A 22,871-nucleotide genomic window follows, 5' to 3' on the forward strand; every position below is an offset into this window, starting at 1 on the left:
GGCAATGTTGGCATATATGAGAATAGCTTTTGCAGGCTCATCTACTAAATCAACAAATATTTATTAAACAATACGTCAAGTTGTGGGGTTTTGAAAAGATCTCCCTGAAACTTCTAAGGAGATAAACCCCCTTTCCCATCTAAAAGGAAAGAAAAACCACAGCAATATTTTTTTTAACTGCCAAGAAATTAGCTCTTCTGCACTGTTTCCGTACAATTTGGTCACCTATTATCCTTGGACTCAAATCCTCCCCCTTCCTGTTCAGGGGTTCACTCTCTCATCAACTTGATGCTTTGCAGTTATCATAATTAATAGCCTTTCCCCAGATAGCTAGGTCCAGAAAGCCAAAAACAAAGGGAAAACCACTGAGTGAATGCCTACCATCTGCCAGACACTCTTCCAAGCATTTCACACACACAAACAACACCTCTGATCAAAAGTTAGTATTAGATAAGCTCATAGACAAAGAAACTATAAATGCAATCCTGAGAAATAGGAGAAAAAAAAATACACGCAAACTGAGATCACCACCTGAGTTGGCAGAGGAAGGATATTAAATAAGGAGGTCAACAAATAAATTATTTTCCATATATGCCTACAATTTAGGGTTACAGTAGGACTTTGGGAACTCAGGGGAAGGGTGGGAGGTGGAGAGGGATAAAAGACTACAAATTGGGTGCCGTGTATACTGCTTGGGTGATGGGTGCACCAAAATCTCACAAATCACCACTAAAGAACTTACTCATGTAACCAAATATCACCTGTTCTCCAAAAACCTATGGAAATAAAAAATTTTAAAAATATATTTTAATAATCTGGGAAGTGACCTTTTGCCCTTAAAAGTTACCCTTTCCTCCATCCTTGTCACCCTAGCACTTTAGGTATAAGTCTTTTATGGCCTTTACACATGTGCCTTACCTCATCATGAGTTTTCCCTGGCTTTTCCTCCCCATCATTCAAGAGCGGGCTCCTGGTTTATCCATCCCTGCAGATCCCCAGTGGGTGTTCAGTCCTCTGCACACCACTGACTCTTGGTACGAGAGCTGCACTCCATTTGACCAGTAAGTGAAGTCCCTTCCTTTTGTCCTATTCATTATTGTGACTTCCCCACTGCTGATGGTGGAGTCTCAGCCCAGCTACTATCCTAAGTGGGGCTACTTCCTCAGCCACTCTCTTCAAATTGGCCCTGGAGGAGAATAAACTAGAATATATAGGTTTGATTCCTAGTTCCAGGACCGTATTACACCCCACAAGTGTTTCATCGTAACATGCTTCTCAAGCAGAGTCCATGTTTGTGTGACTGCGAGTCAGAGGGTCCTCAAGAGGTCCTCAGAGAAGGATGATAAATAAAGTGACAGACAGAAGACAGAATGCTCACACCTGGCCCAGGCCCTGGTCCGGTTAATATCCTGCCTTGTCTTTCACACTATGCTTTTTACTCCCAATAGAGACATGAAACAGCAGATGAGGGAAAATGCCTTGGGTCAAATAAAACAGCATGGATAAAAGGCTTCATGTGTGTAGACCCACTCTTCTCTGGGCCTTGGCTGCAAATCCAGATTCTGGCACCTGCATCTTCCCAAGGCAAAAGGAAGTTGTGAAGGTCAAGAATAAACTTAAGAGTTTTCACCTTAAGAGGCACTTGCTACTTAGGGTATTATTGTCTTACCCCTATAGTCAACAGTTATTTTTCAATAGGTGCTATTTGTAGGACATAGTGTTAGGCAGGCATGGGGGGACACACAGGGTTAACAAGACCTTGCCCTTGCCCTTGAGGGGCATATGGCGATGCTACTTAAAGGGGGCCTCATGGACCATGCCTGGTTGCGTGTTGTTTGAGATCCATCCTTAATGAATAAGAAGAGAAATTGAGAGTAAGCATTTAGGAACGCGAATAGTAGGTAATGTTTTATCTGTTGAATCTAATAACAAAAATTCAGATTTGCATTGTATGTCTTATTTTCACTTTACTTTCTGCAAATTCAATGCTTAGTACACTTCATAAAGGCAAGGGTCTACAACAGATTGGAAATTTTAACAACCAACTTGTCCTTAACCATAGACAATTGGAACAGCACTCATCTAAAACACATATGACTAAAATGAAAGGAAGGTAAGGATAAACGTCTTAAAAAGCTAAACTAGTTCAATGTTATAGAGGGGAAGGAAGATTCTAAGAAAGGTGGGTGCAAAGGTACAGGATGCTTAGGAAGTTGCAAAGCTCCCCCTTCCGTAGCTGAGTAAAATTAAACCAAAAGAAGTAAAAACAACAAAGAAATTATTCACACTAATAGCAGAAGTGGTCTCAATGGTATGGAATACATATCCAGATGTATCATTTGGGTCTGAAACTATTGGGACCAAATGTAGTGAAGATTCTAAAAATCAGAACAGGGTTTCCTTCTGCAAGAAATGATAAGCAATAAGCTTATCATTGAAAATAAGGAAATTCTCAAAAACACCCACTGATGTCTCACACTAGGCAGGGATTGGGACTGGAGTTATGGGAAGGTCCCAGAGTAAGTTCCTCAATGTGCCTTCTGGAGCCACCTTTCTGCATCCTGTAAACAATATTCTGAGGCTACAGAGGTGGAACTATAGGAGGAGATAAACTTTGTAATAGTTTAGCAGGTGGTCGAAGCCAAGTAAGTAATAATATCCTTGCAGCAAGTGTTTCAGTTGAAGCCTGGCAGCAAACGAGGAGGTTAAAAAGAGAAAAATGCCTGTAACCACACCAAATCAAATGCTTACTACATACAGGGTTTCTCTAAAGCTCAAATTCCATTAAAGAGCCTGCTTACACTACAGATGGGAAAAATTTAAATCTGGGGACACCTACCCTTTGAGACGGAATCCACTCTGTCTTGAGTGAGGTGGATTCTGATGCACGAGTGTCAGTAAAACCAGAGATGAATCAAAGAGTCCAAGTTACCAATGACAGGGACCACCTTTCCCTGGGAAGCTGAGAGACTATCAACATTCCTGGATCTCATGTTATAAGAGAAGAATTCACACATTTGAGGTGAACATCCTTTTTCTGGCAAATAGGAAGACCAGTTACCTGCCTTTTTAAAGATGAACAAGAAAAAAATAAAAGGTAAAGGAGGAAAGCAAAAGAAGACAAATTGGCATGTTTCCGATACGAACATTTTGTCTCCTAGTCAACCCTCCAAGCCCCACTAAAAGAAAAGAATACAGCATAAACAGTGAGAGAGGGTGGGCTGGGCAGAAGAGGGAAAGAAAGAGGGGGAGATCATTTCTTTTAATTTAATTTTTAAAATGACAACTAAATTCACAAATAAATTATAAATCACATGGATGAAATAAATGACCAAAATGTGGTAAGAAAATATGATATGATGAATAAGGATTTAGCAGGACTTAGAAAAAACTGAGGAGAAAAGAAATGCTTTTGTAGGACATAAAACTGCATCAAAGCAAGAAGCACAACTATTGCCACAAAAAAAGCACATTTGAAAAATACAGGAAACATAGCTGTATTAGTCCGATTTCATGCTGCTGATAAAGACATACCCAAGACTGGATAATTTATAAAGAAAAAGGTTTAATGGGCTCACACTTCCACGTGGCTGGGGAGGCCTGAAAATCATGGCAGAAGGCAAAGATTCTTACATGGCATCACATCTTACATGGCAGCAGGCAAGAGAGCATGTACAGGGGGGGACTACCTTTTATAAAACCATCAGATCTCCTGAAACTTATTCCCTATCACAAGAACAGCACGGGAAAGACCCACCCCCATGATTCAATTACCTCTCACCAGGTCTCTCCCACAACATGTAGGAATTATGGAAGCTACAGTTTGAGATTTGGGTGGGGACACGACCAAACCATATCAATAGCATATGAATAGAAATAAATTTACAAATTGTAAATAAGAATGGTAGATATGAAAGGAAATACTATATATATATATACACACACACACACACACACACACACACACACACACACACACATGCATATTCTGTATGTTTACTATATATTGTAATAATTTAATATATTGACCTGAGTCTACAAACTGAAAAGTCTCATAGGTCCTGGAAAAGTGAATACACATCAACCAATGCTGAGAAAAAAAATTTAATAAAATTACTGTACTTTAATAATGAAGAATTCTATAAGTGCATATATATAGTAGACAAGTCACTTCAGAAGAGAGACCAGGTACATTTCTCATGGAATTAGATACCAGAAGATAATGACAGCTGCAGGCTAAAGGCATGGGCTATAGGGATGTGCACTCCTGGCTTGGCCACTCACTTGCTATGTGACCTTGCTCTAGTATCAGTTACCTGAACTTTCTGCTTTGCAGTATCCTCATGTATAAGCAAGGATGACCCTTTCCTAAAAATAACCACTGCACACTTTTCTAACTCCAGAGAATCCAGAAACAGTAACACGAAAGACCATCTATCAAAAGAGAGCCAAAAAATTACCAAGACACCAAAATATACAAAGGAAAACTTGCTGGAAATATAAGGAGAATCATCGAGAAACGTAATAGAAGGCGTGATTTTAATACACCTCTCAAGCCTTTGTCAGGTCAAGCAGCAAACAAGTCAATAAAGCAGAGTGGAAATAGTATAATCAGTAAAATTGCCCTACTAGGTATATATCTTCTTTATGTTCTACAACCAAGAACACATGTTTGTGAACTCAAAAAACATTTTTAACAAGTTCAAAATTACTTTTAAAAAATACCAAAAAGCAAAAATAGTACAGGCCACATTTTTAATCATATGCAACAAAAGACAAAATATAAAAAAGAACAAACACTACAAACAACAAACCTCCTGACCAAGAAATGAAAATATTTTTACAAGCCTTTACAACATCTCTGATGTTAAAGAGAACATCAAAACTACAAATTCAAAACATATAGAAAACAAAATAAGAACACTTTACCCCAGATTTAATAGACTATAGCAAAACTAATAAGGTAAAAATTCGTCCTCACACATATTTGTTAATAAAATGAAAGTGTAGAAATAGTAAGATGAGCAGCCCCTCAGAAACAAAGAAAAAAAGCCTGTAATCCCAGCACTTTGGGAGGCGGAGGCAGGCGGATCACGAGGTCAGGAGATCGAGACCATCCTGGCCAACATAGGGAAACTCCGTCTCTACTAAACAATACAAAAAATTACCCATGCATGGTGGTGTGCACCTGTAGTCCCAGCTACTTGGAAGGCCGAGGCAGGGGAATCGCTCGAACCCAGGAGGTGGTGACTGCAGTGAGTCGAGATTGTGCCACTGCACACTCCAGCCTGGGCGACAGAGTGAGACTCTGTCTTAAAAAAAAAAAAAAAAAATAGAAAAAACATTACAAAACTAAGAGTGGAAAGGAGGAATTAATAAAGGTAAAATAGAAATTGATATAGGAGAAAACAGAAAAAAAGATAGAGACATGCCAGCTCCAAGAACTGATAATTTGTAAGCTCAATAAAACAGATAAACCAGTAGCTGTTCTAATCAATGACCAAAGGAGACGCAGCTCCATGCTCAAAATTAAGAATGTGAAACAGGAACTGAACACAAATTTAGACTAACAAAAACCAATAAGTATATGAAAAAACGTTCAAGACTACCAATAATTATACTAATACAAGCAAAACCAACACTGAGATAATATTTTTAGCCAGGAGATTGGCAAAGATATGGCAGTATCTAAGTCAGAGAAGGGTGTGGGGCAATGAGCCCTCTTTTGAACTCTTGATCAGAGTGAAAATCCCTAGATACTTTCTGGAGGGCAGTTTGGCAATATTTGTCAAATTTTTGAATGTGCGTGGGCTTTGACCGAATAACTCTACTCACAAGGATATGTTCTAAAAAGAAAAACACACACGTACATGTGCAGTACAAACAGCAAAACTCAATATTCAAAGTTCAATAAAATTCGTACCACTTTAAAATGATGAGCAGATTTACATTTACTGACTTGAAAAGATACCTACAATATGTTAACCATAAAATGAAGTATGTGAAATGTGAAATGGTAAATTCAAAAACAAATATTTGAGTACTTACTGAGTGCCAGACACCCACTGAGGCATTGTGAGAGGCAGCAATGAACAAGACAGAGGAAGTTCCTGCTCTCACCGAGGATAGAACAAAAGCATGAGCCCACACTACCTCGTGACATGTGTCTGGGGAAAATGGTGGCCAGGGGTAAACAATGTTATCTGCATTTAATAGGATTTGGGGTAATTTCTACTTTCTTCTTCACCCTTCTTTTTACTGTTTTAAAGTTTTTAAACGCACACGCATGGTTATTTTAATTAGAAAAAAAGTTATTTTCTGGGAGGTGTAGAAATCGTGTGTGGTGAAGGGCACAGGTGGACTTGGCATTTGAGTGGTGCTAGAAAATGAGGGTAGAATTTGCATTTATCAGATTGAAGTGGGCATTTCCCATTATGATAAATATATTATCATTAGTAATTGTGTTTAAAATAAGAGCAACATGATTTTCCATATAAACACACAATGAATCTCAGACAAAATTTCATTTCTAGATGTAGCAATTCCAGAAGTCATCTGAGTCCTCATCTTCCAAAGATAAATACAAAAATCAATTAACTAATTAACTACAGCTTTTGTGAATCATTCACTTCAGTGTTTCCCCAGCTGGGATGAAAGAGCCAACAGGAAACTCCTGTGTAGTTCTAGGTGGTGGCAACTTTACCACAACACTGGTAACTTCGTAGAGTTCCTAATGTCTTCCCATTTGACAAAGCCATAAAATATTTGAAAAAGAAAAGAGTGCATGCTTTAGTTCAACTTATTTTAATGTTTGACTTTAACTTTGAGAATAGACACTCAGTATTTTGATGTTGACATCTGTTTTATGTTTCGGTTTTTCTTTTTTTTTTTTTTTTTTTTTTTTGAGACGGAGTTTTGCTCTTGTTGCCCAGGCTGGAATGCGATGGTGCATCTCAGCTCACTGCAACCTCGGCCTCCCGAGTTCAAGCGATTGTCCTGCCTCAGACTCCCGAGTAGCTGGGATTACAGGCTTGCACCACCGCACTCGGCTAATTTTGTATTTTTAGTAGAGACAGGGTTTCACCATGCTGGTCCGGCTGGTCTGAAACCCCTGACTTCAGGTGATCCACTCGCCTCCACCTCCCAAAGTGTGGGATTGCAGACGTGAGCCACCGTGCCTGGCCATGTTTTGATTATTCTTAAATGTGCACTTCAATTGATGTGAAGTCCTCAATTTTTGGATGACATCTGTCATTTGAACCACAAAACTGTCTTGGCTTCCCCGGAAGCCCATCACAGAAATAATGGGGTTCATTGCCTTCCTCAACACCATATTCATTTGTGTTTTTTATAAGGTTGACATTAACATTAGAATGTCCTGCCTGCTACTGTCTTCTGAAAGCCATCAGAACATTTATGGCTTTATGAAGATTCTCTTCAGCACTCATGTTTCTGCATTACATTGGAGAACCTCTTTTCTATCATTTGAGAGCAAAGAGCTCATATTCAACCCATCTTCCCCCATTCAACATTAGAAACAAAAAGGGGGTACATGTCATAGGTTTCTTAAAGTAAAATTAGAGAAAGGCATGAGAACGCAAGCTTCAAAAATAATGAATTGTGCTCTGCTCTAATAGTTAAGCCTGAGGAACAAAACGAAGCTTAAACAAGAAAAAAATTTTATTTCAAAAAGATAAGAAATGGGAAGTGAGAGTCTAGACTGCTTGACATAATCATCACACACTCTGTTCACTAGGGTAGGCACTTGTCTTCATGGTAGAAGATGGCTGCTGGGGTTCCAGCTATCTCACTGGCATTCCAGACAGCAGAATGAAGGAATAGAAGGGGATCTTCTCTCCCTTTTCAGGCAACTTCCCATAAATCCCACACAATTCTGTCTAAATCTCAATTTAGTCACTTGGCTGCATCAAGTTACAAGGTAGGTTAGCAGAAGCAATTTTATTAACCAGGTGGTGATGTGCCAGATAAAAATCAGCATTCTTATTAATGAGGCAGAATGAAAGAACGGATATCAGGAGACAACATGTGGACACATGCAAGCACATGTTATGCATAATTTTAAGGACTGTTACCAAAGTTCTTTTTAGAGAAGGAGCTATCACTATTTAGTCACCACAATGTCCCACTTGTGTATGAAAAGACAGGGCCCAGGTCAGCATCTGGAAAAAGAAAGCAAATCCAAAGTAGGATTGAATTTCAGATAGGAAGAATCTGAGTTTTGTTGTGCCCAAGAAAGAGGTGGGGAGAAGGGCACTAAAAATATGGAAAGGAGCCAGAGAACTTTAAGAGATGGCACAGTGAGTTTTTAAAAGAAAGAGGAGGAAGTAAAGAAGGAAGGATAAAAAGAAGAGAGGAGAGAAGGAGAGGAGGAGTGCTAAATGGTAAAATAACGAAATAGATTTGTAGAACAGAGATGGCCACTATGCAAACCTCCTTCCATCTGCCCAAACTTAACTAATTCACGAAGGCCCTGTGGAGGAGGTGTGTGCTGAAGAGGGAGGGTAGAAATCTAGAAAGAGGGCTAGGAAGGCCCCTTAGCCAGGTTAGTATATCCAACAGAGGACAGTGTCTGTGAGACAACATTAACCAAAGCAGAAGTTTTAAGACGAATGTGAGTAAGAGAACAACAGACCCCTCAGGAAGGCATGGAAATTTTGGGGGCTCTGAAGAACAGATGTACCACCAGTCCCAAAGTGGAATTTTGAGCCAATTCTCTCTGGAAATTAAAGGGCACTTCCATGAGAGTTAAGTTGTTATCAAACTTCAACTTGCCTCTCCTGCCAATCTCTCAATAGGCTCGTGAGGAGGATGGAGAAATGTTTATTGGAGCTTTAATAAAATATAAGCTTTATAATATAAAACAGCGAAGTTAAATGCCATACAGCTGGTTAGTGATTCAACCAGAACCAGAGGCTGTGTTTCTCATGGCCTCTTTAAATTAGGAAGGAAATAGGTGTCATGATCTCATCAACTGAGAGACAGTTCTGAGCAATGCACGCAAATGCATGACTGAGCCTGCGCTTGGCAGAAAGAGCACCCTGATTGATTAGTGATGTCTGCTCTGTGCTTTGGCAGTGGGAGCTTCAGGTGACATGCATTAGATCTGTAGTCCCCTTTAGAGCATGATGACTCTCTAATCACTGAGATTTATGGCAATGCCATTGGGTGTATTCAGTGTTGAGATGTTTTTACTCACACCACTGACACCAAATGAGAGGTGCTTTCTTCCCCTGACACCAATTCCTCAATTCTTTGCAGACACGAACTGGGTATTTAACAATTCAATTCAATTTTGACACTATGTGAAATTAGCATGGACCCCACAGGTTAAGGGCTCAGTCCCAGAAGGCTACCTTCCACTTCAAATATACGTTGCAAGTCTCAGGACACCCACGCTTCTGACCAGCCAGCTATAAGTCAAGGGTTCCCATGACCCCCCTCCACAGGCTTGATAATTTACTGGAATGGCGTACAGAACTCATTTACTGACATTCACTTGTTTATTGTAAAGGATGCAACTCAGGAACAGCCAAATGCAAGAGATACACAGGGCAGGGTGTGGGGCTATGCAGAGTGTTCATGCTCTCTCAGGGCACACCTCCTGCCAGACCCCCAGTGTGAGACAGCCAAGTATAAAGGGATCACCGGAAAACCTCCAACTGGCCTGCACACTGGGAGGAGTGTGCACTGGGGTGGAGCCTCTGGAAGTTCATGCTGTTTGCAGGGGGAGGAGCCTGGCCTCTTTTGTTCCTGGGTGAACCTGGAATTTAATCTGTGAGGCAGGAAACTGGCCAGCAGGACTCTCTCTGCTGAGAGTTTCTGTTCCTCCCCACCTTTTTTTCCCTTTTCGCCCAATACGTTCCATTTTTCTCACCCTTCAAAGCATCTGCGAGCCTAATCTTTCCTGGTCGTGTGACAAGGACCCTAAGGAGAAAGTCCTACAACAGATGTGTGTGCCAACTCAGAAGCAATCTGAACCCCACCATTTAAGGGTTTTTATGGAGATTTCATTACGTGGAGCTGGTGGACTAAATCACTGGCCATTGGTGATGGACTGAATCTCCTGCCCATCTCCCCTCTCAGGAGGTAGAAGGGTGGGGCTGAAACTTCCAGTCCTCTAATCACAATCATGTGGTGTGGTCTTCCTGGCAACTAGTTTCCATCCTGGAGCTATCTTGGGGACTCCAGACACCAGTCGTCTTATTAGCATACAAAAGACACTCATCACTCTGGAGATTCCAAGGGTTTTAGGCACTGTGTGCCAAAAACCTGGGACAAAAACCAAATATTTATTTATTTTTTATTATACCACAGGCATGACTGTGGAGACTTGGAAAAGGAATTTTTTTAATTGCTTAGTTTTTAGTAAGCCCTTTCAAAAGTGAGACAAAAAATTAAAGAGAAGTAGAAGACATGGACTTCATGAATTGAAGATACTCTAGTTTATCTAGCTCAACCTGTGATGTGATACCCTAATCTTCTTTATCATTCCATAAAATATTCAACCATCCTCAGGATTCCCGCAGGGAGCTGGAAGAATAATACATTTGGCAATAGTATACAACATGAGCCAAGCTCCTCCTATGTGCCTCACATTGTGTTTAAACCCTTTACAGAGCACTGTTTTTTCTAATCCTCCTAGCAATACTAAAAGGTGCATGCTATCAGTAACCTCATTTTCTAGATGAGTAAATCAGCCTCAGAGGTTAAGTATCCTCCCCAAGGTCCTACAGTGGGTAGGTGTCAAGGCTGAGATACTAATCAGGAGGCCTCCTGACAGCGACAGCGGCTGGTAACTTATGTCCCATTGTCTCTAGGACTGGACACCTGGAGGCCAAGCAGAGCCTCACCCATTCACGGGAACAAAAACAGATTTTGATTCCATGTCTGAGTTCTTCCCAGGGACCCCATCAGGGCTAGAGTGAATTAACATCCTTAGAGGCAGGCAGGTTGGAAGTGAAATGTTCATTCTTTGGCATCTCATTGATTTGGTTCCTATTAAGAAGAAAATTTCATAATTGAAATCTAGAAGAAGAAATATTTTTCTGAAAGTATGTCCTTCTCCATAGCACTTCTCTAGTCCAGTGTCCTTAGACTACAGTTGGATTATATGAATTAAGGCCTCCAAACAGATAATCACTGTACCTTCTCCTTCATGGACAGACAAGACATATAATGATGCTTCTCATACCGTTTCACTCAATGGAACACCATTTTATCACTTATATTCTCGTGAAAATTTTCCAGAGTGACTGATGATGACAAATCCATGGACCCCAATCAATGGGAAGTGGCTGCTTTCAGGTAAGGGGAGGCATAAAGTCTCAGGGTCCATTTCTCATCTCCTCTGGACATTGGGCTGGGGAGATAAGAGGTGCCTGCCATCTATTTGCTACCACTATGCACTCATTCACTCACTCATGCATTCTCCCTTTCCCAAAATATTCAGAGTGCCTATTATGTGCCAAGCCCTGCTTTAGGCACTTGGGAGATAGCAAGGAATAAGCCAAAAAAAGAGTCTCCTCCACCCACTGAGTTTGCAGGCCTGTTGAGGGAGATGATGAACCATACATGCCAACCAATGTAGCAGCTAAAAATAATTCCAGAGGGTCAAGTGCCCATGAAAAGAGTAAGAAGTCACTCTCAGAGGAGCTCAGAATGCCTGTATAACAATCTATACCCCCAACCAGAACATACCTCAGAATAAACTTCAATAAGGCCATGCCAAGCCTGAGAATTGTGAAGAGACATGATCATCTTCCTCTTCAAAGTGGTTGCAGGCCATCCATGGTTTCACACAGTCTTTTTTCCACCCGTGACCCCAAAGGAGGAAAGCTTCCATCTGGCCCAGGATTTTTGTTTTAATGATGCAATGATGAAGAATGAGAAGACAAAAAATAATAAACTCCAGAGCTTGCCTTGAGAATAACGTTTTACCAACAGGATGTGTCATAAATATGAAATGGCAAAGAAAGATGTTCCAGGATTTGTACTTTGTCCTTTGTTAGCCAGACAGATAATGAGTTACCATCAGGGATTTTTTTTTCTCATTCAAACATGAGCTACATATAACTTCCATACTTCTGTGAAAAGCGAACCCATAAATTACAAGTTATTGTTTCTTAGAAACTGGGATTGTACAAGGGAGAGCCAAACAAAATCATTTGTTTCATGAGCTTGCAACTTTTTAATTAAATACCACTTTAAACTCATACATACATAAGCCAAATGTTCCCCATCCATCCTGCTCCAGAGCATGGTGCCCATGCTACCCCTTCCATCATTTTGCTGTGTTAGAGGTAGGATTCTTGCATTTATTTTTTTTCTAATTTTTTCCTCTATCAATTTAGGCGGGATTGGAAACATAGATAACACAGAACAGGGACTAGTTTTTAACAGTTTTTGTAGTTGTTATGACCAAGGACCAGGCTATACAGATTGATTATAAATTGATAAGAAAGGGAGGGAGGAAAAGAGGGAGTGAGGGAGAAATAAGAGAGGAAGCAAGATTGCAAAGGAGATAGAGAGGAGGGCAAGAGGGAGTGGGGAGACTCCCTAGCCAAGCAGCATGTGAACCTAAGACACTTTATCTGGTTAGATCCACAGACCATTGAGGCTGAAGCTAGCTTATTCTTCACCAGTATTCATGTTTCTTTCATCATTGGCATACCTCTAAACTGCATTTCCCCAGCCCCCTCACATGTAAGTGAGGACATGTGACTAGTTACTCCTCACAGAATGTTGGCAGAAGGGATGTGTGTTACTTCCAGGAATGGCCCCTAAAATCTCCTGATCTGTTCCTCATGCATGCTCCCCTCTCATCTGCTAGATGCAAAGGATCCAGTGGAGGTCTCTGAGGCCCTGGGAGATGGTAGAGCCACACCATGAAGGTGCCTGGGTCCCTGAATGACTGCATGGAGCTCACTCTACATTGGACTGTGACACAAGCAAGAAAGGTAAGACACCAAGATACAGGGATTGTTTCTATACAGTTAACCAGCCCTGAACTGTACACCCTTTGCTCTATTTTTCCATCCAAGGCAGGCAGCACTAACAGATACTTCATGGATAACTTTTCCCTTCAGTTGTCCTCAAACATTTCTGCCATGTCCCAGACAATCCTAACTTCACATTCAGAGGGCATTACAGAGATCTCATCCAAGCACTTTAAGTACTAAATTTATATTCTTAGTTAGTTTGCAATCTACCCTTCACTATAATTCCTATTTAAAAAGGAAGGATGAGTCCATGATTCAATTCAAGATGAGAAAACATTTCTAAATCAAGGGTAAGCACATTTTTCTGTAAAGGTCCAGATAAGTAAATATTTTAGGCTTCACAAGCCTTACAGTCTCTGTCTCAACGAGCCAACCCTGTCATCCTGGCACAAAAGCAGCCACAGGCAGTGTGTAAATGAATGGGCATGGCTGTGCTCCAATAGGCTGTGACTTACAAAAAAAGGGCAGCAGGCCAGATTTGGCCCATGGGCCATAGTGTGCTGACCCCTGCTCTAAATCATTCTCACATTTTCACTAAATATGACCAAGGGCACATGTAAATTCTAGTATCAATTCAATCCCTGTTACATTAGTTTATGCTATTTGTTTTAGACCTCATGGCTTCTCTTGAGTAGTGACAGATATGACAAATGAAGTTGCAAACAGTATTTGATTCTTCTTTCTGCCTCAGCACTGTACTGTGCCTGGCACAAAGTAAAATACAATACATTTTAGTTCCTTTTTACTTCCTTTGAAGCTTGCCTTTGAAGGTTAGACTTGAAGTCAGATCTTCACTTAAGTCCCATTTATTAGTCTGTGGCTTCGGTCAAAGCACCTTCTCTTTGTAAACCTTGGTTTCCAAATCTATAAAATGAAGATAACAATATATACCTCATAGGACTTTTTTGAGGGGTAAGGTGGTGAGGAAAAAGAATAACAACATATATATCCTGTGAAATATATTGTGTGATATAACAATATATATAGTATGAAATGTATAGCACAGTACAGAGGTAAGAGACTATTATTGTAAGCTGCCTGTCCCTTCCTGGATTCTGGATTTACTTTCTTTCCACTGGAAACATGAGTCCCCCGACCCCAATCCCAAGGAGGTCTACTAAATCCCCATTTAGCCTAGGCCAAGAGGCTGTTGGGGTGCATGGGTCGGCTCCACCTGTGTTCTGATTGACTGCCAGAAACCTGAGCCTCCTTTATAGCTACTAACTGGTTCCAGAGAAGCAGCTCCAGCTGCCAAAAAATGTTGCTGTTTTAAAGAGATAAAATGCAATAAAGATATGTTTGTAATGGGCATACTCAGTATGGTCTGACCGGCCAATGACACAAGGCACTTGGGCTTGGACCCAGTGCTATTTGAAATGAGCTCTGGAATCGAAGTACTATTCCCATCAAGAGTATCACCCTTAGCAGTCCACAGCTGAAAGCTTCAAAGTGCAAAATTCAAATCTCCTTTTAGTCAAGTATTAAAATAATGAAAAAGATTTGTGGATAGAATATTTATCCTGCAGTTGCAAATTTTTATGGCCATCCCATTCTACTGAGAGTTGTTATGTGTATAAAACTCCAGACTCCAGGGTCGGTCTGAGTCTTCCCTCCCCGTAGACATCTGTACCATCTGTACCATCTACTTATAGTGCATACTTACCACTCTAAAAGAAACAAAATGCTTTTTAGCTTCCTTGATGATGCTTGCATTAAAACCTGAAGGAAAACATTGCAATGGGCTCTTGTCAGCTAGTCATTACACATTCCCTGACAGTGTCTAGAATAGTGCCTGGCAAGAGAAGGGCTTTAAACAAGATTTACTAATGTTCCAAGTCCTATATCTGGTCATTGTCCTATATCTGATAGGGCATGGATGGCAAGTACCCAACAAATTCATCATTAAATTTGTGCTCAGGGCAAGCAGCAATAATCACTCAAGACACTTTTTTCTTTTCTGATGAGCCAAAACAGAGTAACAGTTACATCTTGGCTGGGGCAGCTTTCCTGCATCTCTGCACAGTCATGCCTTCAGGATGGGGGTCTCTCTGCTAGCACTTGGCGTCTCCCGCAAACCAGTTCCTCCTACCATCTTAGCTAATCTTTGTTAACTGATCCACATATCCACCCAAGACTTCAAACTAAAAATCTGAAAGCATCCTTAACTAATCCTCCAACATCTAATCAATCAACAAATCCTATGAACTCTAATACCCCAAATAAAATTTGAATTGCTTCTCTTCATCTCTATCATTGTAACCTAGGCCATCTTTGGTTGCAAGTATTTCCATAGCTTTTTAAGTGCAAGTGCTTTCTGGCTTCCATGGCAACCCCCCTCAGTCTGTTTCCCATACAGCTGCCAGAGGGCAATACTAAGGCAGAGCATGTCAATGGCTCACTGCTGAACTGCATAACCTGCCTGATCTAGTGCTTCCTGTCCTTTCCAACATCATCTCAGCTCACTCTCCTGTCCATTACTGCAGTGCAGTTGCAGCTGCATTGACCTTCTTGCTGTTCTTGGAAAGCACCCAGCTTTTGACCCACTTAGGGGGTCACACATGTGTTGTTGTCTGCTGGTAAGTCTGCTGCCTATGACAACCCCCACCCCATTGGCTAAGTTCTCATTCTTCAAGTTACAAACAAAGTACCACATCCTCTGAGAGGGCTTCCTAGATCACTCTCTGATATGGTTTGGCTGTGTCCCTACCCAAATCTCATCTTGAATTGTGGCTCCCATAATCCCCATGTGTCATGGGAGGGACCTGGTGGGAGGTAACTGAATCATGGGAGCAGGTTTTCCCATGCTGTTCTCATGACAGTCAGTAAGTGTCACAAGATCTGATGGTTTTATAAAGGAGAGTTCCCCTGCACATGCTCACTCGTCTGCTGACATGTAAAATGTGCCTTTGTTCTTCCTTTGCCTTCTGCCATGCTTGTGAGGCCTCCCCAACCATGTGCAACTATGAGTCCATTAAACCTCCTTCCTTTATAAATTACCCAGTCTCAGGTATGTCTTTATCGGCAGCATGAGAATGGATTAATACACTCCCTCAACCACTTTCTTCTCTATCAACCCAATGCCCTTATTCTCTGACCTTATTCTTTCCCTGAAGACTTGGACTTAATCGAAAGTTTTATACATGTAGAAGTTGCTACTTTTAGTAGAAAAGGAAACATCCGTGAAAACAGTACCTTGGTCATTTCTAAGTAGTTACCACATTTCACAATATTATATTATGTTTTGTTTCTATATAACTTCTCTTAACTAAGGTATTATAAGCTCTATTTGGGTTAGAGACAATGTTTGTCTTGTCATTCAGTACTAGAAGGGAAAAAAGATGATAGAAAACAAATATCCCTTTATTCTGTCTGGTGAGGAATTCTAAATGATATTCATAGACACCTTTTGTGGCATCTGCCCCAAAAACTCCCTTTCCAGGAAATCCACAAATATTCATAATGAACCCCTTATACACAAGGGTAGTAGACCAAATATCCATGTTTAGGCCATGAGACACTACCCATTTTTAATGTCTGAGTTTTATATTTGCCACTGTCTAAGGTGTCTAAGACACCTTGTGGGCAGGGATCCCATGGGATTTACCCATTTTTTAATCCAGCAACTGAGATCAGTGACTGCTACATAATTACACTTTGAATCCATGAAAGGACAGAGCCAATTAGTTTACCCAGGCATCCAAGTCTTGTTTATTGGGTGGCCTGGGTTGGTTTAAGCTGCAGGAATCTAATAAGGGAACACCCAGAAAGATGAAACCATATCCTTAAATTCCTATTCATCCAATAATCCTAAAATAATTTATAATAAAATTAGAAACAAAGGGCAATTGTATAGGATCTTTGTCTGTCTAGTCCCCCACTTCAGAGAGCCTCCAGGGGTAGTTTTCAGAGCCCTGGATGAGGTTTGGCTCATGCAAATCCCATTGTTTGTGGTTCCATTGGAAGAGTCAGTCTCTCTTCTCCCAGCCCCCATGCAACTCTTGGAAAATGGTGCTCAATGGAGAGCATCCTTTGCAGAGGAACTTTGTCCTTAGGGGAAAGTTCTAGATGACAAGTCATAAATTTAGAAGGCCCTGGTCTCAGAAGGCACTCTGAATGATTTCAACAAAGTACAGAAGGAGAAGGTGGTTTTAAAACAGTTGCACCATTGGGTTCAGAAAAAGGAGAGGTCTGTGTACAAATACAGACCACTTTAGTTCTTAAAACATCTGCATATTTTCTAGTCACCAAAGTCACACACAGCTTTACAGCAATAAAGAGGATATTATTTACCCACCCACTTGACAGGTAGGCAAACTGAGTTCGGAGTTGCTGAGTACAACACTAGAAGAGTGTCTCGTAGGAGAGATGCCCAATAGCTGCGCTCCATGTATCCCAATAGCCTTTCTTTCTCTTCATGCTTAGAAACTCACCGTGACTGATATAAAATGTGCTCAGTCAGACAGATGAAGACCTCCTGTCTTGGATAAAATAGGTGCATTCAGGGTGAGAACAGATTAAGTTAAGGCTGCCATAACAGAGAGAAATAGGGAACTCAGGGAGTTTGGGTGATTTGCATGGGTCCTGTTCCAGTTCACATTTGCATCAATCATATCAATATTGAAGAAAAAGATCTGACTTGACTTCCTTTAGATTCTGGTGGACAGACACAGGGATGGCTCAAATCATCTTACTTGTTAACTTTCTTCTTCTTTATGGTCAAGGACTTAGTTTTGTACCCCTACTCTATTCTTGGCATTCTGAGCAGTGACTGACACATAGTAAACTCTCATTGCTCTTAATGAATATACTCAATTTACCACTTTACTTTGACCTCAGACATTCTCTGACTTTCTGGGATGCAGATTACTGTTTCAAAACAGCTTATGTTTTTCTTAAGCAATAAATAGGCCATCATTTCTACCCTTGAAAGAAAATGCTATGTGAGACCACACTGGATCTCAACCTCAAGCTGTCCCTTGGCTTCTCTGAGGTGCATCGTGCAGAGGTTGAGCCTCCCCCCGCTGGATCTGAAGGATGTAGGTACAAACAGCTGAGTATACAACCAATGGACCCCAGCCCAGTGAAGTCACTACCTTAGAGGCCCAAGACTGTCATCACTGTCCTCACAAGTCCATGCTTCTGGACTAGTGGTGGACACCTGCAGCATCTGGCTTACTGTTGAGAGCTCTGACTACAAGAGACCAGATTCAAATTCAGCTTGGCGTGGGACTATGGGTGATGTATCGAACCTCTCTGGAGCTCAGTTGTTTTGGCTGTGAAATGGGAGAGAATAAAACACCTCATAATGCAGCAAATCACAAACTACAATGTGCACACAAATCACCTGGGGATCTTATGATGCTGCAGGTTCAGGCTCAGTAGGTCTGAGGTGGGGCCTGAGAGCTCAGAATTCTAATAAGCTACCAGGCCATACCGATGTGGCTGATCTGGAGACTGCACTCCAAGTAGCAAAGTCATAGAGCAGTAAATGAGATAATAGAATAAAAGGAGATTATTAACATGAACAAGCATTATAAAACAAATTATTAATAATCATGATCAGTAGTAGCATTTTGGTTAACATACATGAAATTACCACCAGCCAGGTTTGAATTAGACTGTTTCCCGCCCTGAGTCCTTTCAAACAAGTTTTGTGATTCCATCTGAAAGCTCCTTCAGACATTCCCATAAGCCCTCATGTAACTACAGAAGTCAAGGGCACAGTGAGAAGATATTTTATTACCCGTGTATTTATTTATGGGTTTTGGGGGTTTTAAAACTGGCAATTAAAACCTTGTAAATTTGTATTATCAACAAAATAAATGTAGACGGGTTAGTTACTCTTTGCTAATAAATTTGATCATTCATTTATAAAACGAATGTTCACCCAAGAATCACAGAGCACTCTATAAATATCGCTTCACGAAGCCGCAAACCACCTCGACAAGGAAGGCACACAGCACCCCTGAGGGGTTAAACAAACCCTCCCGGGCCTGGGGGATGGGAGGGCAGTGCCTGAATTCCAGCCCCCTGGTCCTCTTCCAGTACTCAGGTTCAGGCTCTGCCCCGGGGGGGCCTGACTCTTTGAAGCAAGATATCCGCTTGGATGCGTTTCAAATCAGCTTGCCTAGAGGCTCCAGCCCCAGATAGCCCCAGGAACCTGTCTGTAGGAGCTGGAGAAAACCATATTTCTCTCCTGTGAGAGGTTGAGGAGGACTAGCCTCCCCCATTTCCTCTTTTCCAATCATGCACTCTGGGTAGTTCAGCTACTGTTCCAGAGGTAACTTACAAACCGACTGGCCCAGCTATGGAACTCCAGCATGGAATTAATAAAACAAAACTGCTTGTTCGCTGATTTCTCAGCCAACGGCCCCCACTTCAAGACTTACTCAGCTGACGGTCCTCTTCACTTCTCCCCCATAAATGAACTCAGTAAAGTGTTTTTGTCTTTGAATCCTGGTGCCCTAGATGGACCAGGGTTTTTGTGGCTGGGTTTGAATTCCAGCCCCACCATGGTGGGGGACCACGGACCTCATGTTCCTTAGCTGTGAATTGGGCTTATTTTAGGCAAAGTCATCTGGTGCCTGTGAGGATGTTCAGAAATGATGTGTAAAGAGCCCCAATAATGGAATTTATCCCTATTGGTAGTGCTGGTACCAGTTGTGATATTAGTCATAGATGCAACACTAGCAGCAGAGTGTCAGGCCCGATTATAACTTTTAGGAACCTGAGCCCATGCTTCTCTCATGCACTTCATTTGTTGAGAGGAAAGGGAACAAGAGGATTGATCTCTCATTTATGAGTGCCCTAAGCAGAGCTTAGGCTGTCTCATCAGTCATCTAGCCCTCCAAGATATTACATCTTACTCCCTCTTCCCAAATTATTGACCCAGCTGATACAGACAAGAGACGAGGAAGTACTGGGTAGAAGTGGGTGGGTCCCCAGCAAAGGCCCCATCCTCAAGCCTGGAAACTCACGGCCCTAATGGGAACAGGCATTCATGTTTACACACCCAAAAGTTGCATTTGGCCTGCCAGGCTCCCTTACCGTGTACCCGTATAAACCCCAGACCCCAGGCTCCAGAAGCAGACGAAGATGAACAGAAGAGCAGAAGCACAGCAGAACGGCATGGCAGAGAGAAGAGAATGAGCATCTGAATGCTGAGAGGAGTTTGGCTGGGAATGGTCAGAGAGATTGGCTGCTGGACAGCCAAACTCCGGGAGAAGATCATCTCCCCACTCCATTCACTTTTCAGCTCCCCACCCAACCCGCTGAGCCCTACCTCCATCACTCAATAAAACCCCTGCATTCGTCCTTCAAGTTCGTGTGCAACCTGATTCTTCCTATATGCTTGGTACCTCAGTACCAAGAGGACACTGAGCTGGTTAACACTTAAGCTGTCTGTGGATGGCAAGGCTAAAAGAGCTCACCGTAGCACAAGCCTACACAGGCTTTGGGAGTTACAGGCGCCCACTCCTAGATGCTACCATGGGGCCAGAGCCCCAAAGCACTTGCCCCAGCTCCTTCACCTGCCCATCTGCATGCTCCCCCTCCCATAAGGGGTTTGAGCAGGTGCAGTGTCTGAACAGACAAGCCACACCCCTGTCGCACATCCTGCGAGGGGTGTCAGGGAACTCTCGCATTTCACAACCATCTTCCTGGCACACCTTTTTGCCACCTGCCCTCAGACCAGCTGGTATTATTCTTCTTCTTGCTGGTGAGAGGAACCAAAACCTCCGACTCACAAACACTGATGGGGAGCAGTGATATGCATTGCTCTTAGCCTAGGTCTACTGAGTGGTCTCACTCCTTTGGAGCTACCTTTGCCTGGGCTATGTGGCATCCACGTGCTTTTCTGCTTACACAAGGCCTCATGGACTACATGTTAGAGGTTTTTCATCATTTATTATTTGTTACTTACTGATTTCTTAACTACTGACTGTATCTGTATTCTGTCTTGATTCATTTTCTGAAAAAGCAGGACTCATCTTTACTTAATGAGCTTTATTCCAGTCCTAGAGAGAGGTAGGAATTTAATTTGACTGAGATATTCTGTTCCTCACTGCTGCCTTTACTTGATTAACATGGAGAATCATAAAATTTCTGAGCAGAGAACCAAAAGTAGATAACAAATAGGCTATGAAGCTTGCTGAGATATCTGTAGAGGGGAGATTGATAAAGATGTTTAATACATCTTTCTATAAATAAAAGGACTTCTGGTTTGCCCTGGACTTGGAATGAATCTTCTCAGGGCTTCAAGACAGTCATCACTCTGGCTACCTGCCATATGAAGGTTCTTTTCTCAGAGGGCAAATGTTGCTATAAGAAATGCCACGTGCCATTTTATCAAGCTGAGCGCAACTGGCTTGTGACAACCCTGCATGAGACACCCAACCAAAGAAAGATATTTTCTCTTTGATCAGATGATTACTGAGAGTAGATGTGCTAGCATTAAATTGGTTTTCATGGTTGATATTTTTCAAGTAGGCTGGGCATGATGGCTCACACCTGTAGTCCCAGCTGCTCAGGAGGCTAAGGTGGGGGGATTGCTTGGGTCTGGGAGGTTGAGGCTGCAGTGAGCCATGATTGCACCACTGCACTCCAGCCTGGGCAACAGAGCAAGACCCTGTCTCAAAAATAATAAAATAAAATGATAAAAATATTACTAGTAGCTCCAAATTTAGTAATTTCTTTTTGGAAGCTATTATTAATATATTTTGTTTAACAGAATACAGGTCACCTACCAGCATTTCTTATGAAGTGAGCTTCTGTCAAGTTTTTTGTATTTTTCTTTTCGACTCTTAATATAAAATCATCCAAAAGGTATTCATACCTGTGAGTATTTGTTAGCATGGTTTTAAAATGTAGTATGTCTTCTTTGTTCAATTTAAACAACGTTGGAAGAAAACAATGTTTTCCCATGTTTTCTGTTCATGTCTTTTCCCCTCTAGAGCTTGGCTCACACCATTCCTTGCATTTAGAATATCCTTTCTATTATGCCCAAATCTATTTCATTCTTTAAGGCACATTTAAAGGCTCTCAACCTTTCATGCTCAACTGCTGCTTTCTCTCGTCTTTACTGATTTGTTTACTGGAAGTCATCTCCCCCAGTTCTGCATACTTTCATACAGAAAATAGCAAATTTCAGATGTTTGTTCATTTAGTTTTCAAAAGAAGGGTACCTTGGCAAGTCAGGCTTGCATTCTCTTTTTTAAAATAGCTTTTATTAAGATATAATTCACATGCAGTAAAAGTTGCACAAAAGTGAACAATTCAGTAGTTTTGAGTGTATTCATAGTTGTCCAACCATCACCATAATCTAATTTTAGAGCATTTTCATTACCCCACAGAGAAACCCTATGAAGAGTACACATTAGCAGTCACTCCCATCCCCCCCACCCCTCAACTCTAGGCTACCATGAATCTACTTTCAGTATCCATAGATTTGTCTATTCTAGACATTTCATATACATAAAATTACACAGTATGTTGACTTTTCTTTGTTGACTGGCTTTCTTCATTTAGCGTAATGTTCTCACAAGGCATCTGTTTTGTGGCATGAATAAAGACTTCATTCTTTTTTATCCACTGTATGGATATACCATCTTTTGCTTACTTATTTATCAGTTAATGGACATTTTGGTTGTCTCCACTTTTTGGCTTTTATGAGTAATGCTGTTGTGAATACTCATGCATATGTTTTCAATTCTCTTAGGTAGACACTTAGGAGTGGAATTGCTGAGTCATACAGTAATTCTATGTTTAACATTTTGAGGAGCTGCCAAACTGTTTCCAAAATGGCTGCAACATTCTATATTTCCATCAGCAAGGTAAGAGGGTATCAGTTCCCGC

General features: G+C 41.4%; 2 long non-coding RNA genes across 12 annotated transcripts in view; one reads left to right on the forward strand and one right to left on the reverse strand.

Moving 5' to 3' along the window:
- Nucleotides 1–22,871, reverse strand: part of LOC124906243 (uncharacterized) — a 207,146-nt gene that overhangs the window by 129,660 nt on the left and 54,615 nt on the right. The gene's annotated exons all lie outside the window — the stretch shown is intronic.
- LINC02030 (long intergenic non-protein coding RNA 2030) overlaps nucleotides 1–22,871 on the forward strand; it is a 74,093-nt gene that overhangs the window by 46,613 nt on the left and 4,609 nt on the right. For 8 of the 11 annotated variants that reach the window (NR_183740.1, NR_183746.1, NR_183747.1 and 5 more), the window contains 2 exons: nucleotides 12,851–12,977; nucleotides 22,735–22,849. This is a non-coding gene — a long non-coding RNA (long intergenic non-protein coding RNA 2030). Of the gene's footprint in view, nucleotides 1–11,268; nucleotides 11,326–12,850; nucleotides 12,978–22,734; nucleotides 22,850–22,871 lie in introns of all 11 variants that reach the window. The other 3 variants (NR_183745.1, NR_183748.1, NR_183749.1) reach the window with 1 other exon arrangement.

The sequence above is a fragment of the Homo sapiens genome, chromosome 3 (assembly GCF_000001405.40).
Source record: "Homo sapiens chromosome 3, GRCh38.p14 Primary Assembly".
Taxonomy (NCBI): domain Eukaryota; kingdom Metazoa; phylum Chordata; class Mammalia; order Primates; family Hominidae; genus Homo; species Homo sapiens.